General features: G+C 44.8%; 2 pseudogenes across 1 annotated transcript; one reads left to right on the forward strand and one right to left on the reverse strand.

Moving 5' to 3' along the window:
- ZNF887P (zinc finger protein 887, pseudogene) lies at window positions 4,936-8,748 on the forward strand (annotated as a pseudogene).
- On the reverse strand, window positions 22,324-23,677 carry HNRNPA1P10 (heterogeneous nuclear ribonucleoprotein A1 pseudogene 10; annotated as a pseudogene). The gene has a single exon (NR_002944.2). The product of NR_002944.2 is annotated as a heterogeneous nuclear ribonucleoprotein A1 pseudogene 10 (transcript).
- Window positions 23,678-25,323: the final 1,646 nt, after the last annotated feature.

The raw sequence follows: 25,323 nt of genomic DNA on the forward strand, positions 1-25,323 counted from the left end.
CTTCGCCATGTTGCCCAGGCTGGCCTCGAGCTCCTGGACTCAAGCATTCTGCTCACCTTGGCCTCCCAAAGTGCTGGGATTACAGGTGTGAGTCATTGCGCCTGGTCCTATTATGTCTTCTTGCAGGATTGACCTCTTCACTGTTACAAAATCTCTTTTACAAGGCAATGATGGTCCGGCGTGGTGGCTCACACCTGAAATCCCAGCACTTTGGGAGGCCAAGGCAGGTGGATCACCTGAGGTCAGGAGTTCGAGACCAGCCTGGCCAACACGGCGAAACCCTGTCTCTACTAAAAATACAGAAAATAGCCGGGTGTGGTGGCAGTCACCTGTAATCCCAGCTACTCGGGAGGCTCAGGCAGGAGAATCACTTGAACCTGGGAGGTGGAGGTTGCAGTGAGCCGAGATTGCACCATTGCACTCCAGCCTGGGCAACAGAATGAGACTCTGTCTCAAAAAAAAAAAAAAAAAGCAAGCCCAAGGCAATTATGAGGAAAATTCCTTGCCATTTTCCTTGATCTAAAATGTGGTTTGTCTGAGTTTTATAAAACTATTGCACATTTCTTTTGATTAGTGTTAGAATGGCTTATCTTTCTTCATACCTTTTTATTTAATCTATTCACTTCTTTTTGTTTGAAATGATTTTCTTGTACACATTACTGAGGCTTGTTTAATCTACTATGTCAATCTGTGTCTCTTTTTTGTGTATATAAGTAACAGACATTTAAAGTGGTAATTGATATAATTGTATTAATATGTATATATGTAATTGTTCTCTGTTTGTTGTACTTGTTTTCTTCTTTCTTTCTTTCTTTTTTTTTTTTAGACGGAGTTTCATTCTTGTTGCCCAGGCTGGAGTGCAATGGCGCGATCTCAGCTCACCACAACCTCTGCCTCCCACATTCAAGCGATTCTCCTGCCTCAGCCTCCCGAGTAGCTGGGATTACAGGCATGTGCCACCATGCCCAGCTAATTTTGTATTTTTTAGTAGAGACGGGGTTTCTCCATGTTGGTCAGGCTGGTCACAAACTCCCGACCTTAGGTGATCTGTCCACCTCGACCTTCCAAAGTGCTGGGATTACAGGCATGAGACACTGCTCCCGGCCTCGTTTTCTATTTTTAAAACTTTCTCTTTTTCTACCTTCTGTAGTTTTTGCTTGTTTGTTTGTTTTTTTGAGATGGAGTCTCGCTCTGTTGCCCAGCCTGGAGTGTAGTGGCGTGATCTCATCTCACTGCAACCTTCACCTCCTCCTGGGTTCAAATGATTCTCGTGCCTCAGTCTCCCGAGTAGCTGGTATTACAGGCGTGCGCCACCATGCCCGGCTAATTTTAATAATTTTAGTAGAGACAGGGTTTCGCCATGTTGGCCACGCTGGTCTTGAACTCTTGACCTCAAGTGATCCATCTGCCTCGGCCTCCCAAAGTGCTGGCATTACAGGGGTGAGCCACTGTGCCTGGTAGTAACTTTTTCAAAGTATGTTTACAGAGATGTATTCCCTGTCCTCTCTAGTCAATGAAGGCTCTGTTCCTTTAACTTGTGTTCATCTAGTGTTTTGAGAGAGGTTTCCTGAATGCTAGGAGCTAAAATAAAACAGACCTGGCCGGGTGCTGTGGCTCATGCCTGTAATCCCGGCACTTTGGGAGGCCAAGGCGGGTGGATCACCTGAGGTCAGGAGTTCGAGGCCAGCCTGGCCAACATGGCGAAACCCTGTCTCTACTAAAAATACAAAAATTAGCCAGGCGTGGTGGTGGGCCCCTGTAATCCCAGCTACTGGGGAGGCTGAGGCTGGAGAATCACTTGAACCTGGGAGGCAGAGGTTGCAGTGAGCTGAGATCTTACCACTGCACTCCAGCCTGGGCAGCAAGAGCAGAACTCTGTCTCAAAAAACAAACAAACAAACAAACAATCAAACAAAAAGAGGCCCAAACCTGACTTCTTCCAGGCTTTGTGGATGGCTTTGTCGTGCAGCATTCCTTGAACACTCGGCCTGAGTTTTGTTTGTTTTTTTTTTTTTTTTGAGACGGAGTCTCGCTCTGTCACCCAAGCTGGAGTGCAGTGGCGTGGTCCTGGCTCACTGCCAGCTCTGCCTCCCGGGTTCACACCATTCTCCTGCATCAGCCTCCTGAGTAGCTGGGCCTACAGGTGCCCGCCACCACACCCGGCTAAGTTTTGTAGTTTTAGTAGAGACAGGGTTTCACCGTGTTAGCCAGGATGGTCTGGATCTCCTGACCTCTTGATCTGCCCGCCTCAGCCTCCCAAAGTGCTGGGATTACAGGCGTGAGCCACCGCGCCCGGCCGACTGTTTAAAACTCTGCGTTAGCCTCCAATTTCTGCTGAACTGAGCCTAGAGATCAGCCAGTGCCGAAACTTAGGGCCTCCTCAGGTTTTTTCTAGAAATGTGTTATTTCCTGGGCAGACGTGAGGCTTTCTCAATTCCCCAGGATACCAAAGTGCTTTTGATTAGCCTAATTTCTGAAGCTAATTTTCTCTCCAGATTGTTTTCCTGGGTCTTAGATGGTCTATTCTGTCTCAGTCATAGACTGTTGTTCCAGATGGTTGCAGGCTTTTTGTTGACAATATTTTTATGTAGTCCCTGCCAATTTTTGACCCCAGTTAGGCTTTAGTGTAGTTGAAACAGAGAAGAGAGCCTTATTTCAGACTTTTCGTAGGCCCAGGAGAAATTGGAGTATATGAAGATAATATTTGCAAATAAATATAATATTTGCAAATAAGATGGTAGAATAGGTCACCGCACCTGGCCTGTTCTACATTTTCACTTACCTTTTTCTCTTTGTTCATCTTTCTGTCAACAGTGTGGTGTGTTGAATATTATAGTTTCAAAATCCTTCATGTGTGTTAGGTAAGCTGTCACTTTCTGGTTTAGAAGATTTTTAGCATTTTTAGACATTTGTTACCTCCATTAGTTTTGTTTAAGTAGCTTTTATTGACTACTAACAGGTCTGTTTTAATGATTTAAGGAATTTCATAAATATTCATGAGAGATGACACCTTGGTGACATGCAGTTCTTTTTTTTTTTTTTTTTTTTTTGAGATGGAGTCTTACTCTTGTCGCCCAGGTTGGAGTGCAATGGCGCAGTCCCAGCTCACTGCAACCTCCACTTCCCGGGTTCAAACGATTCTCCTGCCTCAGCCTCCCGAGTAGCTGGGATTATAGGCACCTGCCACCACGCCCGGCTAATTTTTGTATTTTTAGTAGAGATGGGTTTTCACCATGTTGGCCAGGCTGGTCTCGAACTCCTGGCTTTGTGATCTGCCCACCTCGGCCTCCTGAAGTGCTGGGATTGCAGGTGTGAGCCCCTGCGCCTGGCTGACAAGCGGTTCTTTAGAAGAACGTGTACAATCTTTATCCATCTTTCATTCTCCTTTGATGTTACCTAGTATTTAAAAATTTTCCTTTAGGATGATGAAATACATTTCATTAACCTTACGTTACACTTCATTAAATTTAGTTTACGGAAAACCGGTTGCCAGCTTCCAGGTGTTCTCTTATTGTAATCACATAGAATGGGCTAAATCCCCCAAGTAACAAGTGTTGACAGAACATATGAAATGTTACGTACCAAGGTCACTCAGACACTTAGTACCCAGAGTTTTTTTTTCATGGCCATCTTAGTCTGTTTTATGTTCATTAGAATAGAATGCCTGAAATTGGGTAATATACAAGAAATGATATTTGTTTTGTACAATTCTGGAGTTTGGGAAGTCTAAGGGCACGGTGGCACATCTGGTGAAAGCCTTGCTGGTGGGGACTCTTCACTATCTGAGGCAATGGAAGAAGGGTATTCCTAGGGGAGGGGGTGCTAGCTTAGGGGTCTCTTCCTCTTCTTCTGAGGCCACCAGTCTTACTCCCAGGATATCTCATTTACTCATTAACCCTTTCATCCATCAGTGAATGAACCCATTCATGAGGCAGAGCCCTCATGACATAGTCACCTCTTCAAGGCCCCACTTTTGAATACTGACACCTTGGGGATAAAGTTTCAGTATGAGTTTTGGAGGGGACAAACATTCAAACCTAGCAGTGACTGATCAGGTATGCTTCTCTGCTGATTATATCACAAAATTTCAAACTCTCAGAAGGATGATGGAAATTAAGCAAATACCATATTATTTACTTATTTATTTATTTTTCAATTTAATTTGAGACAGGGCCTCGCTCTGTCACCCAGGCCGGAGGTCAGTGTCACACTCATGGCTCACTGCAGCCTCTACCTCCTGGGTTCAAGCAATCCTCCCAGCTCAACCTCCCTAGTAGCTGGGACTACAGACATGCGCCATTATGCCTGGCTAATTTTTGTATGTTTTGTAGAGATGGGGTTTCACCATGTTGCCCAGGCTTGTCCTGAACTCCTGAGCTCAAGCAATCCACTCGTCTCAGCCTCCTAAAGTGCTGGCATTACAGGTGTGAGCCACTATGCCCAGTGGCAAATATCATATTGTTTTAATAAATAGTTGAGGCACACAGCTCCTTTTCTTTGTTATGCTGGTGCAGCTCTCCTTAAATCTAGCTCTGAGATACCATCATAGTTCAACTTTCTAAATAAACGTGTGTAGGGATATGTTGTCTTAGAGCTGCTAATATTGTCTCTTGTAGACAACACATAGTAGGACTTTGTCACGAGAGTTAGTATAGACCCACTAGACAGAAAGACACTAGAGGTGATCTGGGCAGCATATCTCAACTCCCTGAAATCATGAATGAGAGGCTTGTCCGTATTGGCTATTACTTTACTGAATGTGTTCAATTCTAGCATCAGAATTGCTGTGCTGGAGAAAATGAGTATAGACAGAGGATAAGAGTCTGATGACCAAATCATTGAATAAATGTTTGGAGTCTATAGCATTGTGTGAACTTCCTCTAGAGTGTAGCTTCCTAGTGCTGTCAGCCTGAACCTTCCTCCTCTGCCATGTGGGATGTTTCAGGACTCAATGATCTTTGAGGATGTGGCTGTGAACTTTACCCAGGAGGAGTGGGCTTTGCTGGATCCGTCCCAGAAGAAACTCTACAGAGATGTGATGTGGGAAATCATCAGGAACCTGATGTCTGTAGGTAAGGATGACATCATTTCTTCACTTAGTCAATTACAGAACAAGTGTTTCTTGGTCATCTACACTGCTCAATGATTTGAAACATGGTAGGGAATACAGTAGACTGGCCTGATGCAGTGGCTCACGGCTGCAATCTTAGCACTTTGGGAGGCCAAGGTGGGTGGATCACTTGAGGTCATGAGTTCGAGACCAGCCTGGCCAACATGATGATACCCCGTCTCTACTAAAAATACAAAAATTAGCCACGCGTGGTAGTGCACGCCTGTAGTCCCAGCTACTCAGGAGGCTGAGGTGGAAGAATTGCTTGAACTTGGGAGGCAGAGGTTGCAGTGAGCCAAGATTGTGCCACTGCACTCAAGCCTTGGCCACAGAGCAAGACTCCATCTGAAAAAAAAAGGAATACCGTAAGGCCGGGCATGGTGGCTCACACCTATAATCCCAGCACTTTGGGAGGCCGAGGTGGGTAGATCATGAGGTCAGGAGATTGAGACCATCCTGGCTAACATGGTGAAACCCCATCTCTACTAAAAATACAAAAAAAAATTAGCCGGGTGTGGTGGCGGGCACCTGTAGTCCCAGCTACTCGGGAGGCTGAGGCAGGAGAATGGCGTGAACCCAGGAGGCTGAGCTTGCAGTGAGCCGAGATAGCGCCACTGCACTCTGGCCTGGGTGAAAGAGCGAGACTCCGTCTCAAAAAAAAAAAAAAAAAAAAAAAAGAATACAGTAGACCCTTGAACAAAGTGGGTGTCAGAGACTCTTAACCTCTGCACAGTTGATGATCTGGTTTTAACTTTTGACTCTATAAAATGTTAACTGTTGGCCGGGTGCAGGGGCTCACACCTGTAATCCCAGCACTTTGGGAGGCCGAGGTGGGTGGATCCCTTGAGGTTAGGAGTTTGAGACCAGCCTGGCCAATGTGAAACCCCATCTCTACTAAAAATACAAAAAATTAACCAAGCATGGTGCCAGGCACCTGTAATCCTGGCTACTCAGGAGGCTGAGACAGGAGAACTGCTTCAACCTGGGAGGTGGAGGTTGCAGCGAGCTGAGATCATGCCACTGCACTCCAGTCTGGGCAACGAGAGTGAAACTTCGTCTCAAATAAAAAGAAAAAAAGCTAAATGTTAATAGCCTATTGTTGACTGGAAGCTTTATCAGTAACATAACCAGTCAATTAATACATATTTTGTGTGTTGGTGTGTATGTGTAAGTGTATATTAGGACAGTGTCTCACTTTGTTACTCAGGCTGGAGTGTAGGGGCATGGTCATAGCTTAATACAACTTAGAACTCCTGGGGTCAAGCAATCCTCCTGCCTCAGACTCTTGAGTAGCTAGGATTGTAGGCAAGTGCCACCATGCTGGGCTGATTTTTAAATTATTTTTTGTGGAGATGGAGGTCTTGCTATGTTGCCCAGGCTGGTCTCAAACTCTTAGCCTCAAGCAGTCCTCCCACCTCATCCCTAAGTGCTGGGATTATAGGTATAAACCACCATGCCTGGTCTGTTTGGTCTATTATATATGGTATTCTTATAATAAAGTAAGCTAGAAAAAAGAAATATTATCAAGAAAATCATAAGGAAGTGAAAACATATTGACTTGATTAAGTGGATCATCCTAAAGGAATCCTTTTCATTGTTTTCACATTGAGTAGCCTGAAGAGGAGGGGTTGGTCTTGTTCCCTCAGAGGCAGCAGAGGTTGATAAAAGTTTGCATATGAGTGGACTTGTGCCATGCAAGCCCATTTTGTTCAAGGGTCAATAATATTTTGGTGAATAAGTCAGGCATGGTCACAGTGTCCCATGAACATAGAATCTAAAATGTTTCTATAATTTTGTAATCATTTATCATGACTTTTATGGGTCTACATTTTAGGAATAAAATGGGAAGACCGGAACATTGAAGATCAGTACAAAAATTCCAGGAGAAATCCAAGGTAATTTGCACTTATAACATGAAGCTGTGTCCCTTGAGATAATGTTAGAGTGATAGGAAATTATATTTATTTACTTATGTATTCATGTATCTGAGACAAGGCTTAATCTGTCACATAGGCTAGAGTGCAGTGGCATGATCATAGCTTACTGCAGCCTTGAACCCCTGGACTCAAGCCATCCTCCTTTCTTGGCTTCCCAGAATGCTAGGATTACAGGCATGAGCCACTGTGCCCAGTGGAAATTTAAAGAACAAGCAAACAAAGTGAAGCAGCCCAGCTTCAAATTTGTTAATTTTTAGAATGTTTTCTCCAAAAATATATACTTAAATACATACACATTCATTGTTTGCAAAATAGTTGCCTTGGAAACAGTATTAAGAAATCCCATAGTGGCCGGGTGCGGTGGCTCACGCCTTTAATCCCAGCACTTTGGGAGGCTGAGGAGGGCGGATCACGAGGTCAGGAGATCGAGACCATCCTGGCTAACATGGTGAAACCCCATCTCTACTAAAAATACAAAAAAATTAGCTAGGCATGGTGGTGGGCGCCTGTAGTCCCAGCTGCTTGGGAGGCTGAGGCAGGAGAATGGCGTGAACCCAGGAGGTGGAGCTTGCAGTGAGCCGAGATGGTGCCACTGCACTCCAGCCTGAGTGACAGAGTGAAACTCCGTCTCAAAAATAAAATAAAATAAAAAAATAAAGAAACCCCATAGTGGCCAGATGTGGTGGTTGATGCTTGTAATCCCAGTACTTTGGGAGTCTGAATGGGAAGATTGCTTGAGCCCAGGAGTTTGAGACCAGCCTGGGCAATGCAGTGAGAACTCATCTCTACAAGAAATAAAAAAAATCAGCCAAGCCTGGTGGCGCATGCCTGTAGGCCCAGCTACTTGGGAGGCTGAGGTGGGAGGACTGTCTGAGCCTGGAAGGTGGAGGCTGCAGCGAGCTGTGGTCATACCACTGCATTCCAGCCTGCGCAACAGAGTGAGACCCTGTTTCAGGAAAAAAAAAAAAAAAAAAAGAATAAGAAAAAAGAAACTGCCTAGTAACATCACTGTTTTGATAATAGCTGTAATAGAGCCCCTTTGCAGAGAATTCAGTCCACTCACTGTCAGACACTTCAGACAGAACATAAAGCCTACATTTCTCATGATAATGTAAAATATGCAAATCAAATGCTTGCTAATATAAAATTATTTATCAACAAATTCTTTGTAATGTGCTTCTTATTTTTTATAGAAATCATATGGCAGAGAGACTCTGTGAATGTAAAGATGGTCAATGTGGAGAAACTTTCAGCCTGATTCCAGATGGTATAATGAACAAGAACACTCTTCCTGGGGTAAAACCATGTGAAAGCAGTGTGTGTGGAGAAGGCAACGTGGATCATTCATCTCTGAATTGCTACATCAGAGCTGACACTGGACACAAACCGTATGAGTGTCAGGAACATGGAGAGAAGCCACATAAATGTAAGCAGTGTGTAAAAACCTTCAGCTGCCTCCACTCCTTCCAAACACATGAAAAGCCTCACACAGGAGAGAAACCCTATGATTGTAAGGAATGGGAAAAAACCTTCGATTCTCCCCAAACCGTTCGAAGATACAGGGTAGTGCACAGTGGAGATGGACCTTATAAATGTAAGTTTTGTGGGAAAGCCTTTGATAATCTCAGTTTATATCTCACACATGAAAGATCTCATACTGGACAGAAGCCATATGAATGTAATGAATGTGGGAAAGCCTTTGGTTTTCCCAGCTCCTTTCATAGACATGAAAGAATGCACACCGGGGAGAAACCATATGAATGTAAGCAATGTGGGAAAACCTTTAGTTGTTCCAGTTCCATTAAAAAACATGAAAGAATCCACACTGGAGAGAAGCCCTATGAATGCAAGCAATGTGGGAAAGCCTTCGCTTCTTCCAATTCCTTTCAGTATCATGAAAGGACTCACACTGGAGAGAAACCCTATGAATGTAAGCAATGTGGGAAAGCCTTTAATTGTTCCAGTTCCCTTAGAAAACATGCAAGAATTCACACTGGAGAGAAACCCTATATATGTAAACAATGTGGTAAAGCTTTTAGATTTCCCAGTTCTATTAAAAATCATGAAAAGACTCACACTGGAGAGAAGCCCTATGAATGTCAGGAATGTGGGAAAGCCTTCAGATATTCCAGTTCACTTCGAGTACATAAAAGAATTCACACTGGAGAGAAGCCGTATGAATGTGAGGACTGTGGGAAAGCCTTCAGTCATCCCACGACCTTTCATAGACATAAAATTACCCACACTGCAGAGAAACCTTATGAATGTCAGGAATGTGGGGAAGCCTTCCGTTATCCTGTTGCTTTTCGTAGACATAAAATTACCCACACTGCAGAGAAACTTTGAGTGTAAGGAATGTGGGAAAGCCTTCTGTTATCACAGTTCCCTTCAAAGACATGAAAGGACTCACAACGGAGAAAAGTTGTGTGGATATAAAAAATGTAAAGCCGGCTGGGTGCGGTGGCTGACGCCTGTAATCCCAGCACTTTGGGAGGCCAAGGCGGGCGGATCATGAGGTCAAGAGATTGAGACCATCATGGCCAACATGGTAAAACCCCATCTCTACTAAAAATACAAAAATTAGCTGGGCGTGGTGGCATGTGCCTGTAGTACCAGCTACTTGGGAGGCTGAGGCAGGAGAATTGCTTGAACCTGGGAGGTGGAGGTTGCAGTGAACCGAGATTGTGCCACTGTACTCCAGCCAGGTGACAGAGTGAGACTCCGTCTCAAAAAAAAAAAAAAAAAAAGTAAAGCCTTCCACTATTCCAGTACCTTCTGAAACCATGAAAGAACTGACACTTGAGAAAAACAATGATGTTAGGAACATGGGAAACCTTTCCTTTCTCTCTCAATCGTTTGAAGGCATATGGTGTGACATGCTGGCGATAGACCTCATAACTGTAAGGAACATGGAAAACGATTCTTGTTTTCCATGCTCCTTGTTTATTTTAGATACATGAAAGAATTTACTCTGGAGAGAAACTATGAGTGTAAAAAATGTGGTAACGCCTTGTGTAGTTTCTGTTTCTCTGAAATACTGTCATGTCCTGGTATTCTCAGGGGATTAGTTGCAGGCACCCCGCTCCCCACTTCAGAACATCTAAATCTGAAGATGCTCAAGTGCTTTATATAAAATGGTGTATTTTCCTAGAACCTAAGCACATCCTCTTGTACACTTTAAATCATCTCTAGGTTATCCATACTGCCTAATGCATTGTAAACGATATAAAAATAGTTGTTTCATTGTGTTATTTAGGGAATGCTGACAAGAAAAAACATCTGTAGATGTTTAATACAGATAACCATCACATGCCCACCTCCATAGTACAGGCCCACCTCATAGTATATGTCAGCTACAATGAAACATTTTCTTTTTTTTTTAAAAAACGTTTTGGATTGGTTTCATTTAATGGCCTCAAAAACACGTGTTAACATTCTCCAAATCCTTGGTTCTTCTCTCCTGATAACCCTCATGTGATGATTGCTCTGTGGTTCCTAAAGCTGCAGTGTGTTGAGGTGCTTAGATATGTGGCAGTGTAGATAAGTCAGGGGACATCAGTTTAACTTGAATTTTCTTTTTTTTTTTTTTTGAGATGGAGTCTTGCTCTGTCACCCAGGCTGGAGTGCAATGGTGTGATCTCGGCTCACTGCAACCTCCACCTCCTGGGCTCAAGTGATTCTCCTGCCTCAGCCTCCCAACCAGCTGGGATTACAGGTGCCCGCCACCACACCCGGCTAATTTTTGTATTTTTAGAAGAGATGGGGTTTCACCATGTTGGCCAGGCTGGTCTTGAACTCCTGACGTCGTGATCTGCCCACCTTGACCTCCCAAAGTGCTGGGACTACAGGAATGAGCCACCCTGCCCGGCCAGAATTTTCTTTCAGGACATCAGGAGGATCCTCTGCTGGAAGAACCAACATCTGATTGCAGATGTTGCCTCTTTGGTGGAAGGTCAGTAACACAAATCTTGGATCTGTGGTGTTTGAGGGCTGAAAATATTTAAGCATCGAACTTTCAGTCCTTTTTTTTTTTCTTTTTTTTTGAGATGGAGTCTCTGTCGCCCAGGCTGGAGTGCAGTGGCACGATCTCAGCTCACTGCAACCTCTGCCTCCCAGGTTCAAGCGATTCTCCTGCCTCAGCCTCCCAAATAGCTGGGATTACAGGCGCACACCACCATCCCCAGCTAAATTTTGTATTTGTAGCAGAGACAGGGTTTCATCATGTTGGCCAGGCTGGTCTTGAACTCCTGATCTCTGATGATCTGCCCACCTTGGCCTCCCAAAGTGCTGGGATTATAGGCGTGAGCCACCGCACCCTGCTGAAGTTTCAGTCTTCATAATTGCAGATGCTTTAGTTGGAAACGTTGTCATAGGAAAAGCTGTTTTTTCTTTCTCTTTGAATCATCAAACACATCTTGCAATGGTTTTGGCCATGTTATCTCTGGTGACCTGGAAGCGACTTTGATATTAAGCTTCAGAGTATGCTGAAACAAGTCAAGACTTTTGGTGATGTTAGGATGGTAAGCATGTATTTTGCATGTGAGGTCATAAATTTAGGGAGCAGGTAGAAAATTATTGCTTTATTTGTCCCCTGAAATTCATATTATTATTATTTTTTTGAGAGAGTTTTGCTCTTGTTGCCTAGGCTGGAGCGCAATGGCACAATCTTGGCTCAATGCAACCTCCACCTCCTGGTTTCAAGCGATTCTCCTGCCTCAGCCTCCCAAGTAGCTGAGACTGTAGGCATACGCCACCGTACCCGGCTAATTTTTTGTATTTAGTAGAGACAGGGTTTCACCATGTTGGTCAGGCTGGTCTCCAACTCCTGACCTCAGGTGATCCATGCACCTCGGCCTCCCAAAGTGCCGGGATTATAGAGATGCGCCACCACGCCCAGCCCTGAAATTCATATTTTGAAACCTTACTCCCTAATGTATGGAATGAGGAGATAGGATGCCTGGGAGGTAATTAGGATTACTTGGGATCATGAGGGTAGAGTTCTCAGGAATGGGACTATAAGGTTCCCTAGAGAGCTTGCATTTGCTCTCTATTATGTGAGGACACAATGAGATGAAAGCCTTCTTTGAACAAGGAAGCTTGCCCTTACCAGGCACTGAATCTACTATCACTTTGATCTTGGAGTTCACAATCTCCTGTATACTGAGGAGCAAATGTTAGGTGTTTAATACACCCAGCTTATGTCATTTTGTTTTAGGAGCCCCTGGTGGATAAAGCACAACCCCATTAAAAAATAGGTGAAGGAGTTGAATAGACATTTCTCTAATGAGGATGTACAAATAGACAATAATTACATAAAGAAGATGTTCAGCATCACTCATGGTTTAGGGACATGCAAATCAAGAGCAAAATGACATCTATATCCCCTCACCCTCATTAGTTTGCTTCTGTCCAAGAACAAAATAACATGCTGGCAACGATGTGGAATAGTGAGGACCCTTGTACACTATTGATGGAAATGCAAAATGTCACAACTACTTTTGAAAACTATATGGCAGGCCGGGTGCGGTGGCTCATGCCTGTAATCCCAGCACTTTGGGAGCCTGAAGTGGGCAGATCACCTGAGATTGGGAGTTGAAGACCAGCCTGACCAAGATGGAGAAACCCCATCTCTACTAAAAATACAAAAAAATTAGCCGGGCATGGTGGCCCATGCTTGTAATCCCAGCTACTCAGGAGGCTGAGGCAGGAGAATCACTTGAACCCGGGAGGCGGAGGTTACAGTGAGTGGAGATCGCGCCATTGCACTCCAGCCTGGGCAACAAGAGCGAAAGTCCATCTCAAAAAAAAAAACAAAAAAACAAAAAAAAAAACAACTGTGTGGCAGGTAATCAATACATTGAAAAAATGGAAATAACATCCACCATTTTTCCCTTCTGGGAATATAAGCAAAAGAATAGAGACGGGGGCCTGAAATGGGTATTTGTATACATGGTATAGCAGTATAACTTACCAATAGGGAAAATGTGGAAGCAACTCTCTTGTATATTGACAGATGGATGAATAAGCAAAAGGTAGTATATGCATAGGATAGACTATTACTCTGCCTTCAAACGGAAGGGTGACCTGACAAATGCTACAGCATTGATGAACTTGGAGCACATTATGCTAAGTGAAATAGTCCATTCATATAAAGACACACCTTATAAGGTCGAGTCACTTGATTTTTTACAACCTGTCTCCAGACATGGGCTCCTTAAACTCCAGACCCAAAATGTTTTTGCTTATATGAGGTACTCAGAGGAGTCAAATTCATAAAGAAAGTAGAATGGTGATTGTGTGGAATAGGGGAAGTGGGTAATGGAGACTTATGATTTAATGGCATAAAGTTTCAATATTGCAAGATGAAAAGGGTTCTGGAGATAGATGGTGGTGATGGCTGCACACCAATATGAACGTACTGAAAGCCAGTAATTCTACACTTAAAAATTAAGATGGGCCGGGCACAGTGGCTCACGCTTGTAATCCCAGCACTTTGGGAGGCCGAGGTGGGTGGATCACCTGAGGTCAGGAGTTGGAGACCAGCCTGGCCAAAATGGCAAAACCCCGTCTCTACTAAAAATACAAAAATGAGCTGGGCATGGTGGTGCATGCCTGTAAGCCCAGTTACTCAGGAGGCTGAGGCAGGAGGATCTCTTGAACCCGGGAGGCTGAGGTTGCAGTGAGCTGAGATTGTGCCACTGCACTCCAGCCTGGGAGACAGAGCAAGACTCCATCTCAACAACAACAACAAAAAATTGTTAAGATGATAAATTGTATTTTTTCTGTATTTTAGTACCATTAAAATACGTGGGATTGGTCAGAGTGGTGGATAGGGAAAGGACGCAAACCTTCTGAGAGGTTGGAAGGTTCTGCAGAGCCCTGGGGGAGAATAGCTGAAGGTGGCTGTTCTATAACCCTGAGGCAGAGGGCATGGAGTAGGTACAAGGGAGTGTGGGGGAATTTATCTTAAACAGGCTTGTTTACTTGTGTTGACCAGGAACTGACCTTTCATCATCCCTGTGCCTGACGTTCCCTGAAAGGGGAACAATAAGTGTTAATTACCTACAGGTTGTGTTGGCTCCAGGTTTTTGGCATTGTGCCTAGACTGAATAAAAGCAAGCAGCTCCAGCTTCTTGGGGCTGCTTTCTGGCCACTAGAGCCAGGCAGTCACCTAGTTGCTGTTACACTGAATACCTGTGTCTGAGTCCTCATTTCATCCGTTGGCCAGGGTCTGCAGGACAGACCCGGCATTAAAAGAGTGGGGAGCCACAGTAGTGCAAAGACCCCACTGGACCACCAACATACCAAGCAGTTCTTGGTTCAATCCCTCCTTGTCCTCAACACTGTTTTTCCATTTTCCTTGTCCATAAAGGACCTGTTTCCACATGCTTGCTTTGACTCTGATGTCACCTTTAGAGTTGATGCTCAGGCATAGCTCACTTAACTGCCTCACCTTTTCTCTCCTGATCTGGTTGTTGATGGCTGTTGTGAGACATTGGTTGTTGCCTTTTTAGTTTAAAAGGATTCAAATGACACACAGCAATGGAGATGCAGTATATGGCAATTTATTGCAAACGAAAAAGTATTTTGAAAGTTAAGTGCAGAACAGACAGTATGCCCTGAGAGAGAGAGGAGGATTCAGGGCAGGCTGCTCATAAGGATGAGACAGCAAACAGTGGCACTAGGGAGACTTTTTAAAAAAATTTTAATAGTTAGATTTCAGCTCTTTTGAGTGGTTTCAAGTCTGCTGTGGAGGAAGGGGGTAGGGGGAAGGTGGGCATAGCCCGAGAGGCAACAGACTCCAGAACATTCCAGACACAGTCCTTCAGAGGCTGGCTAGTATTAAGGAAAGTGGTTAGGTTTGTGAGGTGAAACAGTGGATGCTTGTGGCTTTTCCGCAGTGTGTGCAGTCAGGCCAGCTTGACTTGGAGGAAAGCCATTCAACACAAAAATGGCACCACAGTTACCCTGGAGGTAACTGTGAAGCACAGGGTTTGAGCCACCTCCATCATCCTCAGGGCACTGTGTGTTTCAGGATACTCTGTGGCACTGCTTTCTTTTCTTTTCTTTTCTTTTTTTTTTTTTTTTTTGGACGGAGTCTCGCTCTGTCGTCCAGGCTGGAGTGCAGTGGTGCGATCTCGGCTCACTGCAAGCTCCGCCTCCCGGGTTCTCGCCATTCTCCTGCCTCAGCCTCCCGAGTAGCTGGGATTACAGGCGCCCGCCACCGCGCCCAGCTAATTTCTTTTTGTATTTTTAGTAGAGACGAGGTTTCACTGTGTTAGCCAGGGATGGTCTCAATCTCCTGACCTTGTGATCCGCCCGCCTCGGCCTCCCAAAGTGCTGGGATTACAGGCGTGAGCCACAGCGCCTGGCCGAGAGACTCCTTTTATGGGAATCTTACATGATTATTCATAAGGGGCTGGGAAGAGGTGTTACTAGTAAGCACATTCTGGGTGGTCTTCTGGGTGCACATGCACAGTAGCTGCCCATTCTTGTTCATACGTCACATCTCATTAGCATCTTAAATCTCCACCCAGGGATGTGGTTTTTACTATTATAATGAGCAAAGGGTCAATCTGAAGACAGGTAAAATAAAAATACGCGTGCTCCCTACAGGGGAAATTCCCTACTGGAGAGAGCTTTGCTTGAATGAGCTTGACTACAATGCGAATGCTGAGGCTTATTGTGTTGACTGTACGATTGCCAAGTCTCCAGGACATGGTTACTTCCTTGGCTACCTATCCTGTCTCATGGTCCTCAGTCACTTCACACCCATGATGTATGCTAACACCCTTCGGTTATCTGTTTAGAAGGGATAATTATTATTTTTTTCTTTTTGAGACAGAGTCTCGCTCTGTTGCCAGGCTGGAGTGCAGTGGCACGATCTCAGCTCCCTGCAACCTCTGCCTTCTGTGTTCAAGCAATTCTCCTGCCTCAGCCTCCCGAGTAGCTGGAACTATAGGCATGTGCCACCATACCCAGCTAATTTTTGTATTTTTAGTAGACGAGGTTTCACCATGTTGGCCAGGATGGTGTCGATCTTCTGACCTCGTGATCCACTCGCCTCGGCCTCCCAATGTGCTGGGATTACAGGCATGAGCCACCGCGCCCAGTCTAGAAGTTATAATTTTAACTTTCCCTGAAGAACACTCATAAACATAAGTTAAGGATTGCAATGTTTTGTTCATGAACAAATCTTCCAGACTGTGAGAATTAAGCAAGATAAACTGAAAATAATAATAATGCGATACAGATTTTCCTAACTACAGAAAATTGAGGAAACATACTACAAAATGTGGAATGACTGACCTTTAATTCTACCTGGGCTGGAGGTTCAAGAAATGGACAGAAGGGGTCACTACATGCACAGGAAAGAATTTCCTAATTTTACCAGTAGAGCTGATGTTGAAGGAGAAATATGTGCTGTAACAAGAGAACTTCAAAGTAGGATGAATGAAGGAAATCTTACCCCCCTAATAATATGGAATTTATGCAGAATCAATTTTTACTTCAGAAGGTCAGTAAATTCTGCTTTCATCCAATGTCTTTACATGTAGAATTATTTTTCATTATCATTGTTCTTACCTTTTGTAGTGATTACTCTGTTGTTTATCAAGTAAATGATAACCCGTTACCATCAGCATCACTTTTCTTGTGATATATAGCTAACTTTCAGTGATGTACAAAAATATTTATCAACTATAGCTTTCATATTTTTGCATTCTTGGGGTATTTTGTTACATGTATAACAACTCTTGAGATTCCACACATAACAATACATTCTTAGGATTATTACTTTGCCATTGGTAGTCACTGGGTTTGTCCACTTCCTGTATGGTGTTATTTGCAAATGAAATACACACATACTACATTTTTATATGTGGTAGGTCCAACAACCTATCAACTGATTATTTTACAGGTGAAGAAATACACATTTAGTCTGTCTTTTATAGTTATAATATTCTTTAATAGTCATCTTTGTTTTCTCTTGTTTTTTGCCATCATTTGATGTCAGACTGAAGAACTTTCTTTGGTCTTTCTTGTAAGGCTTGTGTGCTGGAAATAAGTTCTCTTAGTATGTATGCTTAAACCTGGGAAAGTCTTTGTTTTGACTTCTGATTTGAATGTGAGCTTTGGTGGATATAGAAATGTTCTATTATATATGTTTCAGAGCAGAGGAATAGCATCTAACTAAAAGCAAATATGTCTATTTCACCCAAACACTTATCATTACACTAGTTTATATAAGTTAATGTCAAAAAACAATGAGCAATAAATAGGAATAGGATGGAAGAAGGAAATATTGTGATTGAAGATGAAACCGTTGTTTGGGAAAGTAAAGACAAAACAACTGGAAAAAAATTTTAAGCTGGGGAAGGAGGCAATTTGCTGTGTATGGAGCAAACATACTATTGAATTAAAATCACATTTCTTGAAAATGTATATTAATTTCTAAGAATAGCACTAATACCCTATGCCGTATCTGTGGAAAGGTATGAGTATTTCCTGATGAAATGACCTGAGTGTCACCTCTATAGATTTATATATAACTTTGATGGATTGAAGGTTCCTCATCCCAGTCCTCACTGTAGAGAAATGGTTTAAATATAAGTAATTCAGGAATCTGATCCAAATTAACTCGTGTATAATATTCCAGAAAAATTCACAACATCAAAGAAATGTTTTGAAATTTATACTTTTTTTTCTGACAGAGGGCCTCACTGTGTCACCCAGGCTGGAGTGCAGTGGTGTGATCTCACCTCATTGCAGCCTTGACTTAGTGGACTCCAGAAAGCCTCTTGCCTCAGCCTCCCAAATAGCAGGGACTACAGGCATAGGCCATCACACCTGACTCATTTTTTAATTTTAATTTTTTTTTTTGGTAGAGACAGGGTCTCACTATGTTGTCCAGTCCAGGCTGCCTCAAACCCCTGGGCTCAAGCAATCCTCCCAACTCAGCCTCCCAAAGTGCTGGGATTATAGGCCATTGCTCCCAGCTTATTTTTTATTTATTATTATTATTATTATTATTTTTTTTTTTTTGAGACAGAGTCTCACTCTTTTGCCCAGGCTGGAGTGCAGTGGCGCTATCTCGGCTCACTGCAAGCTCCGCCTCCCGGATTCACTCCATTCTCCTGGCTCAGCCTCCCGAGTAGCTGGGACTACAGGCGCCCGCCATCGCGCCCGATTGAGGTTTTGTATTTTTAATAGAGACAGGGTTTCACCGTGTTAGCCAGGATGGTCTCGATCTCCTGACCTCGTGATCCGCCCACCTCGGCCTCCCAAAGTGCTGGGATTACACGCGTAAGCCACCGCGCCCGGCCTATTTTTAATTTTTTTTAGTCATGGTTTAGCTTGATCACCCAGGCTGTTCTAAAACTCCTGGGCTCAAAAGATCCTTCCCGCCTCAGCCTCCCTCTGGGGTAGCTGGGACCACAAGTACTTGCCAACTCACCCAGCCTTTTATTATCAGTGCCTAATGCTTAAGGAGGATGTGGGCTACCTTTTACTTTCAGATAAAAAACATTGAGGTGAGATAATTCTGTTAATTTTTTTTAACACAAAGGTTCATAACTTGAATAGGTAGTTTCTTGCCTAAATCATTTAATTAAAAAATTTCGTTTTCATTTTGTAGTCTCTTGGATCTTGGAGTTGATTGAAATGTATTTTTAATAGCCAAGTAGATTCACTTTTATATGGTTTTAAAATTGTTGTGTATATAAGGGGCATTTGAAACATTAGATTTTTGTATTTGCTGTGACTTTCCTACTGGCCAGTGTGCCAGGTACCGGATATCCTCCGGGAACTGCAGGCAGGCCCGTCTCTCTTTCACGGGTGAGAGCCGCAGCCTACTCTTGGCGGAAGCGGAAACCCTTTCCTCCATCACGTTTCGCCCATTCCAGGCCAGAAGCAGGCCCCGCTCCTTGCTGCTCGCCTGTGAGCATATTTCGTCGAATCCCGGCTGGGCGGCTTGGTCGCAGTGTGCCTGTGCTGGGCCCGGAGCGCGTTCATCGCCCACAGCCGCTCCAGTTCTTGCGAGTGGTTGTTCCTGCACGCCAGGAGCCGTGGGCCGGGCCATCAGGCCATACAAGTGCTGCGAAAGCGGCCTCGCCTTCGGCTGCATCATCTCGGGGATGTTTCACTTGTCTCTTCTCCCAGTTCCAGCCCCAGCCCCTCGAACTCACCGGGTCTCCACAGCACACTCTGATCAATATCCCACAGGTGAGGAATATAAAATACTCTTTATAAAGTGGAAGCTAGTAAGTCGTTCTTTTCAAACTTTCACAAGAAACTACAGATCTTTTTAAAAGATTCTGATTCAGCAGGTCATTGGGGAAGGCCTGATCCTCTGCATTTCTGACTCGGTCCCCAGTGTCGTCCATGCTGCTGGTCCGCGGACCGCAGTTAGAGTGCTGAGGTAGTAATAGACCTGGTTAGGCAGGCAGGCAGGCAAGGGACTGATCCCATGGAGCCTGGTGGGCCGTATTAAGGACTTTTATTGGATTTCGAGCAGAGAAGCGACGTTTGGGTTGTGTTTTAAGAAGCTACAGAACAAGTTCTGCCAAAGTGGAAGCAAAGACAGGTTACCCACTCCTCTTTTGCCTCCTCGCCTCTTGCCTCGTCGCGGGTGAGCTATGACTATCTGGGGCAGTGGTGCGCCGGGGGTAAAAGTATTTACCAAGACAATTGTAGGTAAAGGAAGGCAGGTTTATCGGAGAAAGTATGAAAATTCGTTGCGAGGCAGCAACAGGCAGGTCAGCAGAAGAGAAGCTGAATGCAGGGAAACAGGCTTGCTGAGGATTTTATGGACTGGAACTTTGGCTGATTGATAACGCCAAGGCAGCAGGGGGCTAATTTGCATTTTTCTGGCCGCTGTGGTGTTTGATAAATTGAAGCGTTTGTTGATAAGCAGGAAGTTTGAGTTATGTATGTTATCTGAGCAGGAGGGCCATATGTCCTGGGCCATAAAGCAGACCTATAACTTATCTGCCTCTTTTTGTTTATATGTCCTGGACCATGAAGAAAGGCAGATTTGTAGCTTATTTACTTTATCTCTTTGCTTTCTGCGGCTCTCGCCAGCCTGATTTTTTTCTCCCCTAATTAGGACTCTGCGTGCCTGATTGCTTTTCTCTGCCTTCCTTACTTGCAACTCCCAAGGTCATGTGTCCGTGAGAGTGGACCTAACTCAGCCGCTAACTCAGCCTCGAGCTACACAAAAAAGGGACTGGACTGGGCTAAGGCTTCAAAAAAGGGTGGGCCTTGGGTAAGATGTTCCAGCTGGTCCAGCACCCTCCTGTCCCATTTCCCAGGCCCTGGCAGTCCAGAATTGAGTAAAACATACTGAGATAACCCTCCACTGGTGAACCTGGAGGAAGATCCATCCTGTAGGAGGTGAGAGCCTGGGAAAGGACATCACTATGGAGGGAACTGAAGTTGGGGTGGAGGTCGGTGGATGGGGTATTGGAAGTGGCTTGAGACCAGGAGATGAGTTTAAAGTCCTCAGGTGCCTGTGGGTAAAGTTCTGACAAAGGAACCAGGAAGAAATAAGAGTCAGATGATGAAAAGGATCAGGACTGGGGGAAAAAACAAGGACCCAACCTGGTGATCGGGATTAAACAATTATTCTGGGCAGGCAAGGGCAAGAAATAGATAATAAACTGGAAAAAGAAATCGCTGGTGTAGGAGGGATATCAGCTGAGAAGAGTTGGTCCAAGGCTCTTGGTCTACACTCCACATCCTGTGGGGTGCACCTGGTGGGCAACTAGGAGAGAAGAAGGGCCCGACGTCCAGTAAGGGAATCAGAATGTGAATGCCGTATTGCTGTGGGGAAGGATCACAGGCCACCTGGAGCCACCTAAGTGAAAACCAGGGTCAGTGCCTGGGGATGGAAGGATCTGAATGGAAACTCACTTAAGGCCAGGTGGGGTGACCTGAGTAGCAAACAGGTAAAAGTTGGGTAGGAGGACCTGATTTGGATGGGGCTGCTCACTGTGATGTCTATGAAGCTATCATTCCAGCTGCTGTCCACCTAGGAGCAGTTGGTCAGTACAGTCAGCTGCGTGTTCCCATCTTGTGTATGAGGGCAGTACTGAAGGCTGCCCTTCATGCCTGCCTTGATCACTGGCAGGAGACAGAGGACGTGGAAGTATGGGTTGTTTGGGGGGATGGTGCCTATGAGGAAGGTCTGATCCCAAATCTAGAGAATGGGAGGGTGGGATGTATCATGGAGGGTCAGGCCGGGGGTCTGGAGGATATCATGTCCTAAATGCAGATGTTCTCTGGGTCTCAGGTCCCTGCTACCAGCCCAGCCTGGTGAGGCTCCAGATGAGTCAATAACCCTGGCTCAGGAGAGCTGGTGTAGGATCTGTTAGGCCAAGGGGTCTGGCTTCCTTACTACCTCCCACTTCTACCTCTGTAGAAATGTCTGTCTCCAGCATCATGTCAAAGCAACTGATGACTTCCCTACCCCAGGCATCACTGAGCTAAACTGGGTGGCAGGAAGGTGATCACCACCTAAGTACTATCTTTTTTTTTATTTTGTATTTTGAGACAGAGTCTCACTGTGTTGCCCAGGCTGGAGTGTAGTGGCTCCATCTTGGCTCACTGCAAGTTCCACCTCCCAGGTTCACGCCATTCTCCTGCCTCAGCCTCCCGAGTAGCTGGGACTATAGGCGCCCGCCACCATGCCTGGCTAATTTTTTGTATTTTTAGTAGAGACGGGGTTTCACCATGTTAGCCAGGATGGTCTCGATCTCCTGACCTCGTGATCCACCTGCCTCGGCCTCTCAAAGTGCTGGGATTACAGGTGTGAGCCACTGTGCCTGGCCCACCCAAGTAGTATCTTATCCCTTCTCTCCTTTTCATCCCAGCCTGTGCCCACTGATCGCTTGGTTACCGGTCCCATTATCCACTCCAGCTCCTGGTACTTCTCTTCTGGGTACAGCTGAACCACCTGGGAAGAGCAAGCTAAGAAGTTCTGGTGCCCCCCTTGCAGCAAGGCTATCAGTGGGCACAAGAGGATGGGGGGATGGGCTGGAGTAAGCCCTACCCAGAGCAGGAGGGAGCCCCACACAGTTCTCCCTCAGCTGTTAACTTCCTAGAGACCCACCTCACAGTCAAGAGCACCAACGGGCACTCCTCCCTCCACTCCCCTTACTGGGGCACCAGTTTCTTTCCACCCCAGGTGTTCACTATCCCCGTTATTTCAATTCTCATGGCTCACAGGAAGAAATAGGTATATTGTACTGAGATTTTTCTTTCTTTTTTTTTTTTTAAAAAAAAAAGACATTTATTCAGCATCACGATCAGACTATTACATTTAGCAATCAACAGCATGGGGTGCAAAAAGAAATCTACGTTAAAACCCTTTGTTGGAATGCTTTACACTTTCCACAGAACAGAAACTAAAATAACCTGTTATACAATTAGTCACAAATACAGTCCTCGAGTTTTTTGCCCATACACATGAGTATTTGTCTAAAACATGTCTTCTTTGTAGCAGCTAGGCCCTGCCACCACTGTGCTTGGCTGAGTTCACAAATCTATTGTAACCTGTAGCTTCCCTGTCACTTCTCTGGCTCTCCTCTCCTGCTAAGCTTTGTTTCCTAATTAAAATCTTCTGCCACTGCCATAGCTACTGCTGCTGCTGGAACCGCCATAGCCACTTGGTTTCGTGGTTTTGCAAAGTATTGGCCTCCACCGCCATAGGGGCCAGAGCTTCTGCCTCCAAAATTTCCTCCCTTCATGGGTCCAAAATTTGAAGACTGATTGTTGTAATTGCCAAAATCATTGTAGCTTCCACCACCTCCAAAATTGCTTCCATCATTACCAAATCCATTATAGCCATCCCCACTGCCACCATATCCACCACCACCATGGCTGCCACCAAAGCCACCACGACCACTGAAGTTTCCTCCACGACCGAAGTTGTCATTCCCACCGAAACCACCTCCACGACCACCACCAAAGTTTCCAGAACCACTTCGACCTCTTTGGCTGGATGAAGCACTAGCCATCTCTTGCTTTGACAGGGCTTTTCTAACTTCACAGTTGTGGCCATTCACAGTATGGTATTTCTGAATGACAGTCTTATCCACGGAGTCATGGTCGTCAAAGGTTACAAAGGCAAAGCCCCTTTTCTTGCCACTGCCTCGGTCAGTCATGATTTCAATCACTTCAATTTTTCCATACTGTTCAAAATAATCTCTTAGGTGATGTTCTTCAGTGTCTTCTTTAATGCCACCAACAAATATCTTTTTCACAGTTAAGTGGGCACCTGGTCTTTGAGAATCTTCTCTGGAGACAGCTCTCTTTGGTTCCACAACTCTTCCATCCACCTTGTGTGGCCTTGCATTCATAGCTGCATCCACCTCCTCCACAGTGGCATACGTGACAAACCCAAAGCCCCTGGAGCGCTTGGTGTTTGGATCTCTCATTACCACACAGTCCGTGAGCGTTCCCCATTGCTCAAAATGGCTCCTCAGGCTCTCATCAGTTGTTTCAAAGCTCAACCCTCCAATGAAGAGCTTCCTCAGCTGTTCGGGCTCTTTAGGAGACTCTGACTTAGACATGACGGCAGGGTGAAGAGAGACTTTAACGATGCTTCTTCGGCGGTGTCCACGGGCAGAAAAGCGAGATTTTTCTAAATGACATAAAAATATGTATTCGTGAAACAGTCTTTTCAAGATAAGGATCCCATCCATCGGACTCAAACATTACCCGCTGGTCCTTGGTAATCTTGCCCCACCCTAGTGCTTCTTCTCTCTCAGCCACCCCTGATGGAATCCTGCAGTTTGTACTGTTCTGTGTCAGGCATCTTTCACTCAGCATAATTGAGCTTCATCCAATAGTTCTTTATTGTACATGAATAATATTCCATCTTCAGAGGAAGCAAAATTTATTTCTCCAGCTGTTGATGGATATTTGGGTTAATTTCAGTTTTTGGCTATTAAGAATTAAACATATGAATATTCACATACCAGTGTTTGTAAGAACATATGATATTTCTTTTTTGTTTGTTTGAGACAGCCTCGCTCTGTCACCAGGCTGAAGTGTAGTGGCGCAATCTTGGCTCACTGCAACCTCCGCCTCCCAGGTTCAAGCCATTCTCCTGCTTCAGCCTTCTGAGTAGTTGGGACTACAGGTGCGTGCCACCACGCCCAGCTAATTTTTGTATTTTTAGTAGAGGTGGAGTTTCACTATGTTGGCCAGGCTGGCCTTGATCTCTTGAACCTCGTGATCCGCCCACCTCAGCCTCCTAAAGTGCTGGGATTACAGGCATGAGCCACTGTGCCCAGCTGATTATTTCTTTAGAAGATTTTATTTTATTCTACCTAGGAATAAAATGGCTGGGTGTTGTGACAGGTGTATGTTTAACTTCTTAGGAAACTTCCAAACTGTTTTCCAAGTGGCTGTTCCATTTTGTATTCCCACCAACGTCATAAGAGTTCCAGTTGCTTCGCATTGTCACCAACATTTGATATAGCCAATCTTACTAATTTTAGACTCCCAAATATGTGTAGTGGTATTAGAATTGTGGCTTAATGCCAGGCACAGTGGCTCACGCCTGTAATCCCAGCACTTTGGGAGGCCAAGGCGGGCGGATCACGAGGTCAGGAGATCGAGACCATCCTGGCTAACACGGTGAAACCCCATCTCTACTAAAAATACAAACAATTAGCCAGGTGTGGTGGTGGGCGCCTGTTGTCCCAGCTACTCCGGAGGCTGAGGCAGGAGAATGGTGTGAACCTGGGAGGCGGAGCTTGCAGTGAGCCGAGATAGTGCCACTGCACTCCAGCCTGGGTGACAGATCGAGACTCCACCTCAAAAAAAAAAAAAATTGTGGCTTAAGTTTGTGTTTACTTAATGAATGATGATGTTGAATGATATTTCATGTTTTTATTTGTCACTGAAAAATATTCTGTGGTCAAGTATTAATGACATTGATTGTTTTCAGATTATTAGTTTTTGAGAGTTCTTTATATATTCTGGATATAATTGCTGCATCAGATTATGGTTTGTATGTATTTTCTCCCATCTACGGCTATTCTTTAAAAATCCTTAGCAGTCTCTAGGCCGGGAGTGGTGGCTCATGCCTGTAATCCCAGCACTTTGGGAGGCCAAGGCGGGCAGATCACTTGAGGTCGGGAGTTCGAGACCAGCCTGACCAACATGGAGAAACCCCATCTCTACTAAAAACACAAAATTAGCCAGGCATGGTGGCACATGCCTGTAATCCCAGCTACTCGGGAGGCTGAGGTAGGAGAATCGCTTGAA

The sequence above is a fragment of the Homo sapiens genome, chromosome 19 (assembly GCF_000001405.40).
Source record: "Homo sapiens chromosome 19, GRCh38.p14 Primary Assembly".
NCBI classification, from domain to species: domain Eukaryota; kingdom Metazoa; phylum Chordata; class Mammalia; order Primates; family Hominidae; genus Homo; species Homo sapiens.